The 17,685-nt window shown below is 39.3% G+C and overlaps 1 protein-coding gene across 5 annotated transcripts in view, besides 2 other annotated features; it reads right to left on the minus strand.

Annotated features, from left to right (window-relative positions):
- Positions 1-17,685, minus strand: part of TMEFF2 (transmembrane protein with EGF like and two follistatin like domains 2) — a 245,888-nt gene that overhangs the window by 173,660 nt on the left and 54,543 nt on the right. The gene's annotated exons all lie outside the window — the stretch shown is intronic.
- Positions 7,552-8,244: an enhancer, noted in NCBI's record as "NANOG-H3K27ac-H3K4me1 hESC enhancer chr2:192994983-192995675 (GRCh37/hg19 assembly coordinates)". NCBI's record gives its function as "activates a minimal SCP1, AML or CMV promoter by ChIP-STARR-seq in primed H9 embryonic stem cells {active_cell/tissue: H9 hESC(primed)}" and the evidence as "EXISTENCE:reporter gene assay evidence [ECO:0000049][PMID:30033119]".
- Positions 8,245-8,936: an enhancer, noted in NCBI's record as "NANOG-H3K27ac-H3K4me1 hESC enhancer chr2:192995676-192996367 (GRCh37/hg19 assembly coordinates)". NCBI's record gives its function as "activates a minimal SCP1, AML or CMV promoter by ChIP-STARR-seq in primed H9 embryonic stem cells {active_cell/tissue: H9 hESC(primed)}" and the evidence as "EXISTENCE:reporter gene assay evidence [ECO:0000049][PMID:30033119]".

Consider the following 17,685-nt stretch of genomic DNA (forward strand, 5'->3'; position numbering starts at 1 on the left):
TATGAAATAAATATGCAGGATAACACTACATATAAATAAAATACCCTGTAATCAATGCCTTTAAAATACTATCAGGCACTAACAGATTGACACAGCTATAATCCTACATTATTCAATGTGATTCAATCATTTATAAATACAGAAAAACATAACAGAATAGCAAAATGTAAAGTGAGAATATAAAAATCAGATTTGAACCAGAAATGCAATTAGGAAGCATATATTAAGATGTATTTGTAATAATAACAAGGCACACAACTTTGGCTCTGAGCTCTATAGCAGCCATGCAATAAAGTTATTTATCTATTTTCATGTGAATATTAAAACAACTTATCCTGTATACCCAATGGGAGAAAAATGAATAAGCCACCACATTGCTGCACTCTAAAATCATATTAAGGAGAAAATTACTTTTCAACCTTTGGCAAGTTGTAGTTCATTCTTGATGTGTTAATGGCTGCTGTTTCATAGTTCAGCTGAAGTAAAAGGATCTACTCTTCAGTGTATTTACTGGGGTGATATTTATGATGTTTGGCAGCATCTGTTTTTCACATTTAGTTATCTTGTGCTGTACTTCTGATATGATGTGCTAATTTGATTTTCTCCTACTTGTTTTGATAAATAAGTTTATGTTTTTTTTCCTAGAGTCAAAAATTGAGGTAATCGATCTAGATTACAAAAACAATTAAAACTGAGTGAACCATGGGAAGTCAATAACACTTAAATCTTTGAAGTTAAAAATATGATTTGTAATGTGTACATAGAATTGGTTTTCATAGTGTAGTCTGCAGTGTCAGGCAAAGATTACATAGTAAATCCAGATGATCTATATTAGGAGGATATATAGGAGTTGCATTATATTTACTATTAGCAAAATAATAGTTTAAAATTGACTTTGCTGCCTTGGCACTGATATTCCACTACAACCCAACATCGGAATCCTTAATGTAAAGTTTCAACATCTGTATCAGTTGCTATTCTCAACTAAAACTTACTCTGTTAAAATCAATATTCTTGTTTATAAATTAGTCCTCTGAGTTATTACAAACCATGATGATGTTTTGAACAAGCTAATGGTCACAATATTGTTAATCGATTTTCCTACTTGGAAAAAAAATGTGCAGATAGCTGCCTCTTATTCACTATTGAGTTGGTTCATTTGTAGACTGATGCTGATTTCATTTTGATTGAGCAGGATTATGAGAAATAAGAAAATGTTTGAATTTTCAACTCACTCCTTTCTGTTGTGACATTTTGTTCTTTCATTCCATCATCTCCATTAGTTTGCCAACTGGCACTGACAGGAGTGCAAAACTACTGCAAATTGTTACTTCAGCAGTACTCTGCCTGCCAAGAACTGATCAGCTGCTTCTCTTAATGCACCTTTCACTCTTTCCTAACTGAAGCAGTCTGAGTCTGCAGTGCTGCTGGGTTACAAATCTCATCCAGAGCATTTGGATTTAATCAATCACCTGATTTCTACCACTTTAAGATAAACATGCATGAATGCAATCATTACAAAAATGAATGTCTAGTCTGAAAATTGGAGGGAATGTGGGTATAGGACCACAGGGGTAAACATTCATGCTCTATTCAATTTATGGTTTCATTTAGACTGATATATCCAACTCTTTCTCAGCCCCCTGTCTCAGCAGTTATAAACAGCATCACCTTTTCTTAACCCAAGAATGTAGTCAAGCTTTTCCCTACAGAAGACATTCTAATGGGGCTCTGAGGGTCACCTGACAAAGGCCTGGCAGAAGTGATGGATGCTCCATTCTTTCTTCTGTGGATCTGGATGCGTTGCTCCTTCTCTGGGTCAAATTAAGACTCCTGAGAGGAATATCTGGATCCCCTATACAGTTGTGAAACTGCCAGGATCTTCTGGATGGATAAGATCAGCAATTATTTCAAATTTATGTGGTCAACCTCAGAGAAACAGACTGTACACTTATAAAAAATTTTCAGATGACAGAAAACACAAATTAGCAGCTAAAAATGGGTTTCCTGGCTGACACCTGGCAAATGGAGTTTAAACATTTAAGGACAGAGGAGTAATTCATACTGATCATAAAACTAAGAGGAAACATTCTTCCAATATTTCAGAGTTTTGTCACAAGCCAAGGGTGCCTCATTTCCATAATTTGTCCTCATTGCTCCTCTACCATGTCCCTTGGAAAGAGTGGGTATTAGTCACTCCGCAAAACTGTTTTGCCTCTTGTCCCCTTTAATTACTTGTCTATTGTATACCCAGAATTAACTCTCCTCCATTGGCTAGCAGAGCCTTATGTTCTCTGTAAAACTCTTATGACCAAACTTCTCCTAAAAGAGGCATTAATTAATTGGGAAAGGATACCACAAAAGATCCATTACCATTCCTCATCCCAAACAACAACACTTGTATGAAATTATATAGAACAGAATTATATTTTTAAAAGTTTTCTCAGCTGGATGGGAAGACATTTGGAATCCAGTGTGTCCCAAAGGTTTGTGAAATTTCCCTTCTTATCTTACATCTAATCGAATATTTTAAACTAGAAGTGAGATCTTAAAATAAACGTTACAGGGAGAAGATAAACAAGTAAAACATACAATTATTTTTAAGCTATTATATAAAGTTCATCTCTGAGTTCAAATAACATTCAGCTCAACTCTAATAAAAATATACTATTTCATAATTTTAAAAAACATATAGAAATATAAATATCTTTGTATTATAAGCAATAATATTGGGTTTTTCCACTTAGACATCTTTTTAACAGATTGATTTTTAAGATCATCAAGAATATCCTTAAATTTAAAGTGAAGCTAACTACTAATTTCATTTAAATTCAAGCAAAAATAAAGTATTTAAGAGAAAGCAGGTTTAATAAAAGTTTGTTTCTATTCACAATAGTAAAGACATGGAATCAATCCAAATGCCCATCAATGATAGACTGGATAAAGAAAATGTGGTACATAAGCACCATGGAATACTATGCAGCTATAAAAAGGATGAGATCATGTCTTTTGCGGGGACATGGATGGAGCTGGAAGCTGTTATCCTCAGCAAACTAACATCGCAGGAACAGAAAACCAAACACTACATGTTCTCAATTATAAGTGGGAGCTGAATGATGAGAAGACGTGGACACATGTTGGGAAACAAGACACACTGGGGCCTGTCAGAGGAATGGCGGGAGGGCAAGCATCAGGAAGAATAGCTAATGATGCTGGGCTTAACACCTAGGTGATGGGTGGATCTGTGCAGCAAATGTCCACGGCACACGTTTACTTATATAACAAACCCGCACATCCTGCACATGTACCCCAGAACTTAAAATAAAAGTTAAAGAAACAAAAGTTTGTTTTTTGAAAATATACCAATAAGTGGATATACTCAAATGCAAGTGAAAAATTCAGTTGATGATTCAGATATTTGAAAAAGATAAAAAGCACATGTATCAACCCAGTGGTAAAAATAATACGCACCATGAATTACCGTTTTCTGAAATATTTTAAAATCTTTGCTCATTACATTTAGTTGCATATTACTTTCTACATAAAATAGATCCTTAATATGCTGTGCTAATTAATGAAGTGATGGGGAAAAGTACAGTCTGAATAACTTACCATTTCTTTTCTATGGAAATGCTTTTAATTGCTAATACATCTGCCAAGTCTATATGATGACAGGTTACATAACAGAAAATATTACAAATTATTTTGATATCTCAAATACATTAAAATATTTGTATAAAGATATTGTATGATATATGTCAGAAAAAAATATCAAGATGTGTAAGGGAACAATAAAACATGACAATTAAAACTGTCAGTCCCAAACTAAAGATACTGACTGTATTTTTTAGGTTTCATGTCACAACTTGACACATTCTAGACACTGCTATGGTAATTACATTTGGTATGAAGGAAGTAAGGCATACTTGCAACTAGAAAGAAGGAGAAATGACTAACACTTAGGATATTTGATGTTTTACATTCATGATCTTGTTCCCTCTGACAGTCATGTTAGGAAACTGAGGCTCAGAGAGACAGGGTAAATTCCTCAAGGTGGTAAAACCTAGGTTGGTTAAACTCCAAAACCTGTCCTTCTTCACTACGTGGAGTTGCCTTCTAACTACAAAAACAAAACAAAACAAACAAACAAACAAACAAAAGCTTGTTTTGGCTGCTGTAAAATAATGCCCTTCCTCCCACTTCAGGCAATTCAAGTATTTCAATATAGAAGTTAATTTTTGCTTTGGGTTTTAGAATTTTGTTGTTTTGCTATGTAACTTAGAACTGATATTTAATTATGTGCCAATATAAGAACAGTAAAGCACTCTTATTTAGACAGCTGTAACACTAAGTACATGAATGAGATTATTAGTGCCAAGCAACTCATCCCTCCACCAGGCTTTCTGACAGATGAGAGTCTGTGGCTCCTCCCCAAGTCATGAAAGAATCTAGTGCACTAATGACATCTGGATCACCTCTGACAATTTTTAAAAGATTCAATGATTCTCTGTCAGCAAGAAGGAAAAACTGACTTGACCTATTGTTCATCAAGGTATAATTTTGTAAATGCTCACAGAAAGCCAAATATTGACTAATAATAGAGCAAATTATACAGGGCTCATTAAATATCACAGGCCACGTAATTCATTGCTGTTTTCTGAGTGAACACTCAATGGTGTTAGAATATTTGCCCTTCTGTCTTTAAGTGTTACCCTTCCTGCCTTCTCTCCTACTTCTCTCTTCTCTAAATCCAAAATGTAAAAATTATTGCATTTGAAAAACATTCAACAAATCAACAATGTAGCTATTTTTTGTTCAAACTGGATGAGAAATCCTCTTTATTTTGGGGAAACCTCACTTGCTGGCATGGAACTATGATTTGGGGCTAACGTTGAAAAATTGTGCTTCAACACATGACAAGAACATGAGCTGACTATGTCTAAAGTCAAAAATTGAGCAACAGTACAATTATGTAACTGTTTGTTTTATGTTAACTGAAAGGCCCAATCTTTGTAGCTTAAATCTTAAATAAGTTAGTTCAATAAGTCGTGACAATTTTAAGTAATAATATTACTTTGTGTGTTATTCTTGCTATCAATGAGTCAAAGCTTAGCAGAAATCCTTAAAACTACGTAAGAAATGTTCTATCTACTCAACTTACACTATTACATTCTTCTAATCTTAATTTTAATTTTTATGTGCTACATAACTCCTCTTTGGAAACCCATTAATTTAAAGTTTTGAGATATGTAGTTCTGGGCTCTTTTGTAGCTTTTCTTAGCCCTAAGTCACACAATTCTACTGTGCAAGGTAGTGATAATTAATATTTCCAATCTTGATTTGCCATTGCAACTTTAGATTTTAGGGCACTGTAGTTTTTAGTATTTTACATAAGTTCAGCCTTTCACTCATTAAACTTAGGTCCAAATAAATTGCATCTGTCACAATTTTTTTAAAATTTGCCATTACAGATAAAGCCTACAATTTTCAAGAAGCTAAAAATGCTATTTTTGCTCAATGTCTATACATATATTTATTTTCAGTTTTTCCAAATCTACTTTTATACTATGTAAGAATTGACAGGTGAGGTAACAAATCAGCATTAGTCGAATATAAGAATATTCTTAGTTTCTAATTAGACTATTGACAAACAAAATATTGCAATAAGTCACTGTAGCCTTCAAATTTACTTTTAATATTGCCTATTACAAACATGTCTGAAATGATTTTCCTTTATAAATTCTTGCACAGATCTAACATTTTGACAAAAGAAAGGACATCTTAAAAATGAATTCCTGAATGTACGGATAGAAAATGAACATCAGAACAAGTGAAGTGTTGCCTTCTTATCGCAAGAAAAGAGTAGACAAACAGTATCTATTTTAATTCTTGTGCAACTCACTTTTAATAGGAAGAAAGTGCTGGAACAGTCAGCTTTAGTAAGGCTGCAAGTTTTAGAAGCTTATCAGGTATAATATGTTAATCTTTAAAAACAGTATGATGAAGTCTGAAGCTTTCAGAGAGATGAGACACTGATAATGGGCCTGTTTAAAACAACATAACGAAAACCTTGATTGTGGGTTGCCAAGCAGCTTCCAAATGTTGAAAGAGAAAGCAGTTTCTTCAAAGGAGGCTGTTGCTCACAGAAAATGCATTTTCATTCCAAGTGCTGCAGCGGCGCATTTTGGCTTCCCCCGGGGAGGTAGCAAAACTCTCCAGTGTGTGGCACATGTGGTGCCTTTTGTGTTACTTGTGCATCTGATGTATACAACCACAGTGCACTTTTCAGTAGCCACACATTTCCTCTGGGACATGCCTGGGTGCCCCATAGGAGAGTGTTGAGCACCCAGCAATCTTAACACCCCCTGGCCTGGGGCCCCTAAATTAGGTATTCTAGCTCTGGTGCCAGTTTATGTTTCTGTGTACCTACATGGCCCAAGGCTGAAAAAATGACTAGGAATCCTGGGATCCTCGTGCAAATCTTCGAATTGGTTCCCTGAGAGTTCCTCAAGCACATATTCTGGATTGATTTTCAGTTTTTTAAAAATGTCCACTAACTATCTCATTTAAATAGCTTTTGTCATCTTGAAAATATAACCCACGGGTTATTTTATAAGAGTAGAAAGCAGTATACTCTGACACATTTTACCAGCATGTTTAATAGAAAAAAAAAAAAAGAGCAATATCCTCAGAAAAATACCTTTCTGACCATGATGTACATAGTTTTTGGGCCATCCAAGGAAAAAAGACACTCTTAGAGGGATGGGTTTTAATACTACTTTAGTTTATGTCAACCTGAAAAATTCCCCATGCAGTGGAACAAGAGTTTGAGGACCCCACATGCATTCTTACATTTCAATTCTAAGATGAATCCAGATTTCAGAAATATTAAATATGAAAATAGTGCAGCATAGAATTAAGGAAATGCCATATTTATGGTGAGGGAGTTGCTGATGTTGCTCCAGGACTTCCCAGTTTGAGGATTTGGACTAAATGTGTACATCTGTGGGAGCAAGGTCCTTTGTATATGTTTGTGTGACTAGCAAGCAAGATTGAGGCCCACAACACTGCATAATCTACAGTACATACATCATAAAACAGTCCTTTAATTTTACTTGTGGAATTATTTGTCATGCCAAGTCTTTGTTTTTAGTCATTTACATTTGTATTTCTTACCGCAGTTTTTCTAAAAACAAATTAACAAAGACGAATATTGAAATAATTCGCCTGACCCTAGCATAGGTCACTTAGCTTAATTTAACTGCAACTGTATTATTTTCCCTAAATATAAAACAAATAGATGCAAAATGTCTATAAGTGATTTAGATTGTATTGCACTGTGATTTGTAGTTTTTAAAGACTAAAACTGTCATTTAATTATTACTTTTTGTTCTGTGAGCGTACGTATTAACAATCTTAATTTGTCTAGTGAAATAAGGAATTAAACAGTTACTATTATTTCTTCTTCCAGGATTGCAAATATAAAATAATTTAAACTAAAGAAAAAAATAAAAGTAAGAACTCAGATTTTTTTCCTAAATTTCATGCTATGCTGTTCCTTTTTCCTTCTTCTCCCCTTCCTCCTCCTTCTCCTCTGTCTCCTCTTTCTTCTAATAATGCAATCTCCATAATTTTTAGATGAAAATTTTAGAGTTTTCACATAATACCTTAGAAAGAGTATGTCAGGCCTCTGAGCCCAAGTCAAGCCATCGCATCCCCTGTGACTTGCACATATACACCCAGATGGCCTGAAGTAACTGAAGAATCACAAAAGAAGTGAAAAGGCCCTGCCCCGCCTTGACTGATGACACTCCACCATTGTGATTTGTTCCTGCCCCACCTTAACTGAGCGATTAACCCTGTGAATTTCCTTCTCCTGGCTCAGAAGCTCCCCCACTGAGCACCTTGTGACCCCCGCCCCTGCCCACCAGAGAACAACCCTCTTTGACTGTAATTTTCCATTACCTTCCCAAATCCTATGAAACGGCCCCACCCCTATCTCCCTTCGCTGACTCTCTTTTCAGACTCAGCCCGCCTGCACCCAGGTGAAATAAACAGCCATGTTGCTCACACAAAGTCTGTTTGGTGGTCTCTTCACACGGACACGCATGAAATTTGGTGCTGAAACCTGGGAAAGCAGAGAAGGGGTAGAGACAAGGAGAGAAGGGGTTGGGGTACTTGCCCCAAAACTCCGGCGCTGGTCACGGACTGGGAAGGCAGCCTTCCCTTGGTGTTTAATCATTGCAGGGACGCCTGATTATTCACCCACGTTTCAAGGGTGTCAGACCACGCAGGGACGCCTGCCTTGGTCCTTCACCCTTAGCAGCAAGTCCCGCTTTTCTGGGGAAGGGGCAAGTACCCCAACCCCTTCTCTCCTTGTCTCTACCCCTTCTCTGCTTTTCTGGGAAAAGGGCAAGTACCCCAACCCCTTCTCTCCTTGTCTCTACCCCTTCTCTGCTTTTCTGGGAAAAGGGCAAGTACCCCAACCCCTTCTCTCCTTGTCTCTACCCCTTCTCTGCTTTTCTGGGGAAGGGGCAAGTACCCCAACCCCTTCTCTCATTGTCTCTACCCCTTCTCTGCTTTTCTGGGGAAGGGACAAGTACCCCAACCCCTTCTCTCCTTGTCTCTACCCCTTCTCTGCTTTTCTGGGGAAGGGGCAAGTACCCCTCAACCCCTTCTCCTTCACCTTTAGCGGCAAGTCCCGCTTTTCTGGGGGAAGGGCAAGTACCCCTCAACCCCTTCTCCTTCACCCTTAGTGGCAAGTCCCACTTTTCTAGGGGGCAAGAACCCCCAATCCCTTATTTCCGCACCCCGACCTCTTATCTCTGTGCCCCAATCCCTTATTTCCACACCCCAACCTCTTATCTCTGTGCCCCAATCCCTTATTTCCGTGCCCCAACACTTTCTCTGCTTTTCTGGAGGGCAAGAAACCCCCATCCCTTCTCCGTGTCTCTACTCTTTTCCCTGGGCTTGCCTCCTTCACTATGGGCAAGCTTCCACCTTCCATTCCTCCTCCTTCTCCCTTAGCCTGTATTCTTAAGAACTTAAAACCTCTTCAACTCTCACCTGACCTAAAATCAAAGCGTCTTATTTTCTTGTGCAATGCCGCTTGACCCCAATACAAACTCGACAGTAGTTCCAAATAGCCGGAAAACGGCACTTTCAATTTTTCCATCCTACAAGATCTAAATAATTCTTGTCATAAAATGGGCAAATGGTCTGAGGTGCCTGACGTCCAGGCATTCTTTTACACATCAGTCCCTTCCTAGTCTCTGTGCCCAGTGCAACTCGTCCCAAATCTTCCTTCTTTCCCTCCCGCCTGTCCCCTCAGTCCCAACCCCAAGCGTCACTGAGTCTTTCTAATCTTCCTTTTCTACAGACCCATCTGACCTCTCCCCTCCTCGCCAGGCCAAGCTAGGCCCCAATTCTTCCTCAGCCTCCGCTCCTCCACCCTGTAATCTTTTTATCACCTCCCCTCCTCACACCTGGTCTGGCTTACAGTTTCGTTCTGTGACTAGCCCTCCCCCACCTGCCCAGCAATTTACTCTTAAAAAGGTGGCTGGAGCCAAAGGCATAGTCCAGGTTAATGCTCCTTTTTCTTTATCCCAAATCAGATAGCATTTAGGCTCTTTTTCATCAAATATAAAAACCCAGCCCAGTTCATGGCTCGTTCGGCAGCAACCCTGAGACGCTTTACAGCCCTAGACCCTAAAAGGTCAAAAGGCCATCTCATTCTCAATATACATTTTATTACCCAATCTGCTCCTGACATTAAATAAAACTCCAAAAAATAGATTCTGGCCCTCAAACCCCACAACAGGACTTAATTAACCTCACCTTCAAGGTGTACAATAATGAAAAAAAAAAGTTGCAATTCCTTGCCTCCACTGTGAGACAAACCCCAGCCACATCTCCAGCACACAAGAACTTCCAAACGCCTGAACTGCAGCGGCCAGGCGTTCCTCCAGGCCCGCTTCCCCCAGGAGCTTGCTACAAGTGCCAGAAATCTGACCACCAGGGCAAGGAATGCCTGCAGCCCAGGATTCCTCCAAGCCATGTCCCATCTGTGCAGGACCTCGCTGAAAATCGGAGTGTTCAACTCACCTGGCAGCCACTCCCAGAGCCCCTGGAATTCTGGCCCAAGGCTCTTTGACCGACTCCTTCTCGGCTTAGTGGCTGAAGACTGACGCTGCCTGATCACCTCGAAAGCCCCGTAGACCATCACAAACGCCAAGCTTCGAGTAACTCTCACAGTGGAAAGTAAGTCCGTCCCCTTAATCAATACGGAGGCTACCCACTCCACATTACCTTCTTTTCAAGGGCCTGTTGCCCTTGCCTCCGTAACTGTTGTAGGTATTGACGGCCAGGCTTCTAAACCTCTTAAAACTCCCCAACTCTGGTACCAACTTAGACAATACTCTTTTAAGCACTCCTTTTTAGTTATCCCCACCTGCCCAGTTCCCTTATTAGGCGGAGACACTTTAACTAAATTATCTGCTTCCCTGACTATTCCTGGGCTACAGCTGCATCTCATTGCCGCCCTTCTTCAGAATCCAAGGCTTCATTTGCGTCCTCCTCTTGTATCCCCCCACCTTAACCCACAAGTATAAGATACCTCTACTCCTTCCTTGGTGACCGATCACGCACCCCTTACCATCTCATTAAAACCTAATCACCCTTACCCCACTCAATGCCAATATCCCATCCCACAGCATGCTCTGAAAGGATTAAAACCTGTTATCACTCGTCTGCTACAGCATGGCCTTTTAAAGCCTATAAACTCTCCTTACAATTCCCCCATTTTAGCTGTCCTAAAACCAGACAAGCCTTACAAGTTAGTTCAGGATCTATGCCTTATCAACTAAATTGTTTTGCCTATCCACCCCATGGTGCCAAACCCATATACTCTCCTATTCTCAATACCTCCCTCCACAATCCGTTATTCTGTTCTGGATCTCAAACGTGCTTTCTTTACTACTCCTTTGCACGGGTCATCCCAGCCTCTCTTCGCTTTCACTTGGACTGACCCTGACACCCATCAGGCTCAGCAGATTACCTGGGCTGTACTGCCGCAAGGCTTCACAGACAGACCCCATTACTTCAGTCAAGCCCAAATTTCATCCTCATCTGTTACCTATCTCGGCATAATTCTCGTAAAAACACACGTGCTCTCCCTGCTGATCGTGTCCGATTAATCTCCCAAACCTCAATCCCTTACAAAACAACAACTCCTTTCCTTCCTAGGCATGGTTAGTGCAGTCAGAATTCTTACACAAGAGCCAGTACCCCACCCTGTAGCCTTTCTGTCCAAACAACTTGACCTTACTGTTTTAGCCTAGCCATCATGTCTGCGTGCAGCGGCTGCCACTGCTTTAATACTTTTAGAGGCCCTCAAAATCACAAACTATGCTCAACTCACTCTCTACATTTCTCATAACTTCCAAAATCTATTTTCTTCCTCACACCTGACGCATATACTTTCTGCTCCCTGGCTCCTTCAGCTGTACTCACTCTTCGTTAAGTCCCACAATTACCATTGTTCCTGGCCCGGACTTCAATACAGCCTCCCACATTATTCCAGATACCACACCTGATCCCCATGACTGCATCTCTCTGATCCACCTGATGTTCATCCCATTTCCCCACATTTCCTTCTTCCCTGTTTCTCACCCTGATCACGCTTGATTTATTGATGGCAGTTCCACCAGGCCTAATCGCCACACACCAGCAAAGGCAGGCCATGCTATAATACAAGCCACTAGCCCGCCTCTTAGAACCTCTCATTTCCTTTCCATCGTGGAAATCTATCCTCAAGGAAATAACTTCTCAGTGTTCCATCTGCTATTCTATCTGCTATTCTACTACTCCTCAAGGATTATTCAGGCCCCCTCCCTTCCCTACACTTCAAGCTCGAAGCTTTGCCCCTGCCCAGGACTGGCAAATTAGCTTTACTCAACATGCCCTGAGTCACAAAAACTAAAATGCCTCTTAGTCTAAGTAGACACTTTCACTAGATAAGTAGAGGCCTTTCCTACAGGGTCTGAGAAGGCCACCGCAGCCATTTCTTCCCTTCTGTCAGACATAATTCCTCAGTTTAGCCTTCCCACCTCTATACAGTCTGATAACAGACCAGCCTTTATTAGTCAAATCAGCCAAGCATTTTTTCAGGCTCTTAGTATTCAGTGACAGACTAATGGTCTATTAAAAACACACCTCACCAAGCTCAGCCACCAACTTAAAAATGACTGGACAATACTTTTACCACTTTCCCTTCTCAGAAGTCAGACCTGTCCTCAGAATGCTACAAGCTACAGCCCATTTAAGCTCCTGTATAGATGCTCCTTTTTATTAGGCCCCAGTCTCATTCCAGACACCGGACCAACTTAGACTGTGCCCCCAAAAAAACTTGTCATCCCTACTATTTTCTGTCTAGTCATACTCCTATTCTCCGTTCTCAACTATTCATATATGCCCTGCTCTTGTTTACACTGCCAGTTCACACTGTTTCTCCAAGCCATCACAGCTGATATCTCCTCGTGCTATCCCCAAACGGCCACTCTTAACTCTTGAAGTAAATAAATAATCTTTGCTGGCAGGACTATGCTGAATCTCCTTAGGCACTCTCTAATCAGATGTCCTAGGTCCTCCCAATTCTTAGACCTTTTATACCTGTTTTTCTCCTTCTCTTATTCCATTTAGTTTTTCAATTCATACAAAACCGTATCCAGGCCATCACCAATAATTCTAAATGACAAATGTTTCTTCTAACAACCCAACAATACCACCCCTTTCCACAAAATCTTCCTTCAGCTTAATGTCTCCCAGTCGAGGTTCCCATGCTGCCCCTAATCCCGCTTGAAGCAGCCCTGAGAAACATCGTCCATTCTCTCTCCATACCACCCCCCAAAAATTTTCGCCGCCCCAACACTTCAACACTATTTTATTTTTCTTATTAATATAAGAAGGCAGGAATGTCAGGCCTCTGAGCCCAAGCCAAGCCATCGCATCCCCTGTGACTTGCACATATACACCCAGATGGCCTGAAGTAACTGAAGAATCACAAAAGAAGTGAAGAGGCCCTGCCCCGCCTTAACTGATGACACTCCACCACTGTGATTTGTTCCTGCCCCACCTTAACTGAGTGATTAACCCTGTGAATTTCCTTCTCCTGGCTCAGAAGCTCCCCCACTGAGCACCTTGTGACCCCCGCCCCTGCCCACCAGAGAACAACCCCCTTTGACTGTAATTTTCCATTACCTTCCCAAATCCTATAAAACGGCCCCACCCCTATCTCCCTTCGCTGACTCTCTTTTCGGACTCAGCCCACCTGCACCCAGGTGAAATAAACAGCCATGTTGCTCACACAAAGCCTGTTTGGTGGTCTCTTCACACAGACGCGCATGAAAGAGTATTTTTCCTTTTTTTCAAAATAAATAGTAATCTACTAATTAAACTCAGTATTTCATGACCTATTAATTCAGCAGTTATTATAATCCATCTTTAATTGGATTAGCTATAATTACAATTAAATGGTTCCCTGAATCTTAAAAGGTTAAATACAAGTCATTTTCCATTTAAGACTTAAATATGAATTGATAATGATAAGACAAGAAAGAGATTTCATCCTAAGGTTAATTGCTAAGTATTTTCCCCTATTTTCAGATTCAGCTTCCTTATCTCTTGCCTTTTTATGATTCATAAAATCTCAACTCTAGGACATACTGTCCAAATACATGGTATCATTTTTTTATAATTCTTAAATTAGCACTTACCTGTATTTTAGTGTAGAATAAAATAATTCTTTTCCTATATTAGGTGATGTTTCCATTTAAATTGAGTGTATAGTAGTATTACCAAGAGGAGGAAAGAAATATTGAAGACCTTTATGACCAAAACATAGGTAGATTTATCATTCTTTGCGGATTATTTCTTCTCTTTTTTTCTCATTCCTTCCCTTCTTCCTCTCTTTCTCCTCCATCTCCCCGCTCTCTCTCTCCTTTCCCTCTCTCTCCACACACATTTATGCCTTTTTTAAACATTAAGTTTCATAAATTAATATTTGACACCTGTTTCCATTTGGAAATAAGTCATGAACAACTAACTAAAGATAAACAACTAACTTTAGATTTATCAAAAGAACGTTATACTCCAGGGGCCTTTCATCTAAAAGATAACACATGGTTGTGTTAAATCACTAAGTTCAAATAATTTGGCAGTTATAATCTACTTAGGCACTTTGAAATTAACTACATCATTTGACAAAATTTTAGGAGGGGGAAAAGGAAAGAGAAGAAATGATTAAATGAATTTTTACAGCATCATATTTACTTCCATTCAACAGATACCGTTAAGGATAAAGGATATATCCATGTCCCTTTTTAACAGAGGGATAAGTCCCTAATCGCATATTGTAAGAAGTGGTGTGTAATCAGGCACATCAAGCATAACTTTCTGTGCTCCTTTGGTGCTTACCAGAGGGAGAGGAGGCAAGATGAATGACACTTAACTAAGTTACATTAAAAAGGATTCGTGAGGGTGGGGTACCCAAGAGATGTGAAGTGAAAGATTTTAACAGGGGAAGTGAAGGTAAATGGCCTGCTGAAAGGATGGAAGAGAATGAAAAAAGGCCTGGGGCAGAAAAGTCCAGGGCACAACACACATTCCCATCCCATTGAATTGGAGAGTGTGCTACAAAGTAGGCAGTCATGAAATGAAAGTGCGGAGAGGATGGTTGAAGTAACATTACAGAGAGCCTCATATGCCAGTGTGAGGAGTTAAAAATCAGCAGAGTTTCCAGCAAGGAAATGCCATCATTAGGGCTGTATTTTAGGTCGACTTACAGAAGAATGGATCAGAGTGAGAGGAGTTTGGGAGCAAGGAGAGCAGGCATAGGTGGTTGGTATCATCTGGCAAGACCAATAGTGGAGAGGGTGCCAAGAAGTTCTCAGGCAAAACAATCTTGAATGAGTCAGACTATAGGAAAGGCCTCAGATATCTGCATACCTATACACTGAGCCTGAGTAAAATACATCTATCTATATATCTACTTATATATATAATATATGTAATCTATTTATATATATATGTAATATATACAAATATATATATATATTTTGAGAGGGAGTCTCACTCTGTGACCCATGCTGGAGTGCAGTGGTGCGATCTAGGCTCACTGCAACCTCCACCCCCACAGTTCAAGTTATTCTCCTGCCTCAGACTCCTGAGGCACTCCTGTAATCCCCTCCTGGGATTATAGGCATGCGCCACCACACCCAGCTAATTTTTGTATTTTTAGTAGAAATGGGGTTTCAGCATATTGGCCAGGCTGGTCTCAAACTCCTGACCCCAGGTGATCTGCCTGCCTTGGCCTCCCAAAGTGCTGGGATTACAGGCATGAGCCACTGCGCCCAGCCTCCTGAGTAATATATTTTTGAAACACTGGCAACTTAACATTAGAAGTTCAATATCTTACAGTTACTACAATGTGTTAGGATGCAACTGTGTAATATAGAAGACTCTGTTCAAAAGAAGCATGTCCATAGAAAAGGCAAGAATACTGCATGTATGGTATATGTGCATCTGCTTAGAAAATTGTGACATCGGTACAGATATCTGAGCCAACGTAAGTGGCTAAGGGATAATACATTGCATTGCTTCCCACTCAGAATGTAGGGATGATGCTTTACAATAGTGCTTCTCAAACTTTAGTGAGAAGGAGAATTATCTCAAGGACTTGCTAACACACAGATTGTTGAGATCCACCTCCAAAGCTTCTCACCCCATAGGTCCGGTCTGAGGCCCTGAATTCACTTTTCTAATAAGTACACATATGATGCTGATGTTGCATTACACAAATCATAAAGTGGTGAAAGTAGCAATTTCGGGGAAATCTCAACCACCTGGGCATGTAACTCGACAACTCCTTCTCCTAATAGAAAGCATTTGAAATTATTGTGCTATCTTGATGAAACAGCATTCCTCAGATTGAAGACAGAACAAGGAAGGGAGTTTCTCATTCTGAAGTTTCTATTCTTGATTTAATCTTTAGCAGCAAAGAGGAGCTTATTCCTGAATCTGAAATAATGGAAACTTATAGAGAAAGCATCCATGACATTTTAGAGGTCAAGAAAAGGCTACTAAAGTACACCTTAGGTTTTAGGTAATTCCATTGAAAAACAATTTAAGAATCAACAGCTATTATTTTCTCCCTGGGGGGTTCAATGGGCAGAAAATATAAAGGAGATGGAAAGTAAAAATTGAAAATCTGGTAATACAATCACAAATGATATCGATGAGAAAAATAAAGAATCTGTATCCAAGGAAACCATCATAGTTGCTTAGGGCTCTCTTTCTGATGAGCTCTGATTTAAACAAAACGTGTACAACATATGAAGGGAAGAACATATAACCAAGGTTGAATACAAAAGAGAAACAATAATCTTTAAGAAAAGGACCAAGTGGCTGAAATTGTCACTTCTTACCTTTACTAAGGGACATTAAAGAAGTCTTCGCATAAAATATGTGTATATGTGATATAAATACTGTTTTTGGAGTAAATGAGACTTTAAAAGTGATGAATATAATCATCGCTTGGGAACAATGATATATTGTTAAATGTGGTAAAATGGTGGTTTGCTTTTATTTCTCTCCACTGGGAAAATTATTTTCACATTAGGAAGGACAGCACCATCAAGAGGTAATTGAAGCACAAAATAAGAGCAAAGATTATGAGAGCATTTTGTCTGTTTAAATGAATGTAGCAGTCCAAACACTGATGAATTACATTTGAAAGGTGAAACAAATCATTCTGGGTAATCACTGGGAAATGATGGTGAACAGAGTAAATCCCACAAGATCAGAGATGAACAAATGACCAATTTTCAAAAATGGATAAAAGTCAAAGTATAGAATCCAAAGATTTATGAGACTGTTATTCAACCCTGGACAATTTCATAAAAAGTTTTGCCAAACTAGTAGTTTGGAACTTCTAGTAAGTGGTGAGCATGCTGCATGCCAAACGAATCTCATTATTTCATGAGGTCTATCATTATATAAATCACACTTTAAAAATGCTCATGCTGCTCCCTTTAACTATGATGGAGAATGTGGGTTGAATGCTAGAATCTTTAATGAATTTGTAGCTATAGAAGAGCCCTACTTTAGGGATTCTAATTGTAAATCTGTAGGAAGGAGTCTAGAGAGGTAGCTTTCATCCTTGGCTCTGCTCCATTCAGTTCAACACTTTTTTTCTTTTTTCAGCAACGTCTTAGCTGAAAACTAAATGGCTTCCTTATCAACAAGGTAGTTGACTCAAAGCTGGAAAAAACTGACTGCTATCTTTGACACCAGACACAGAATTTTAAATGATCTTGACAGGTTAAAGGGATGAGGCAAAGCCAGCATAATGAAATTTAACTGGGATAAGGGATGAGACAATACCAAAATAATAAAATTTAACTGAGATAAATGAAAAATCTTAGATTTGTGTTGAGATGACAATTATACACATTGAGGACAGAAGATGTTTTCTTGACAGCAATTTGTTTGACAAGAACATGGGAGTTTTAATCGAGCTTTATAAACTTTACTGAGATAACATGTGGAGGGTCCTTATGGTGCCTGGCAGATACAGGCACTCATTAAATCATTATTTGTTGAAGCTCACTATGAGCTAACCACATAATC

This window comes from Homo sapiens, chromosome 2 (genome assembly GCF_000001405.40).
Source record: "Homo sapiens chromosome 2, GRCh38.p14 Primary Assembly".
Classification (NCBI taxonomy): Eukaryota; Metazoa; Chordata; class Mammalia; order Primates; family Hominidae; genus Homo; species Homo sapiens.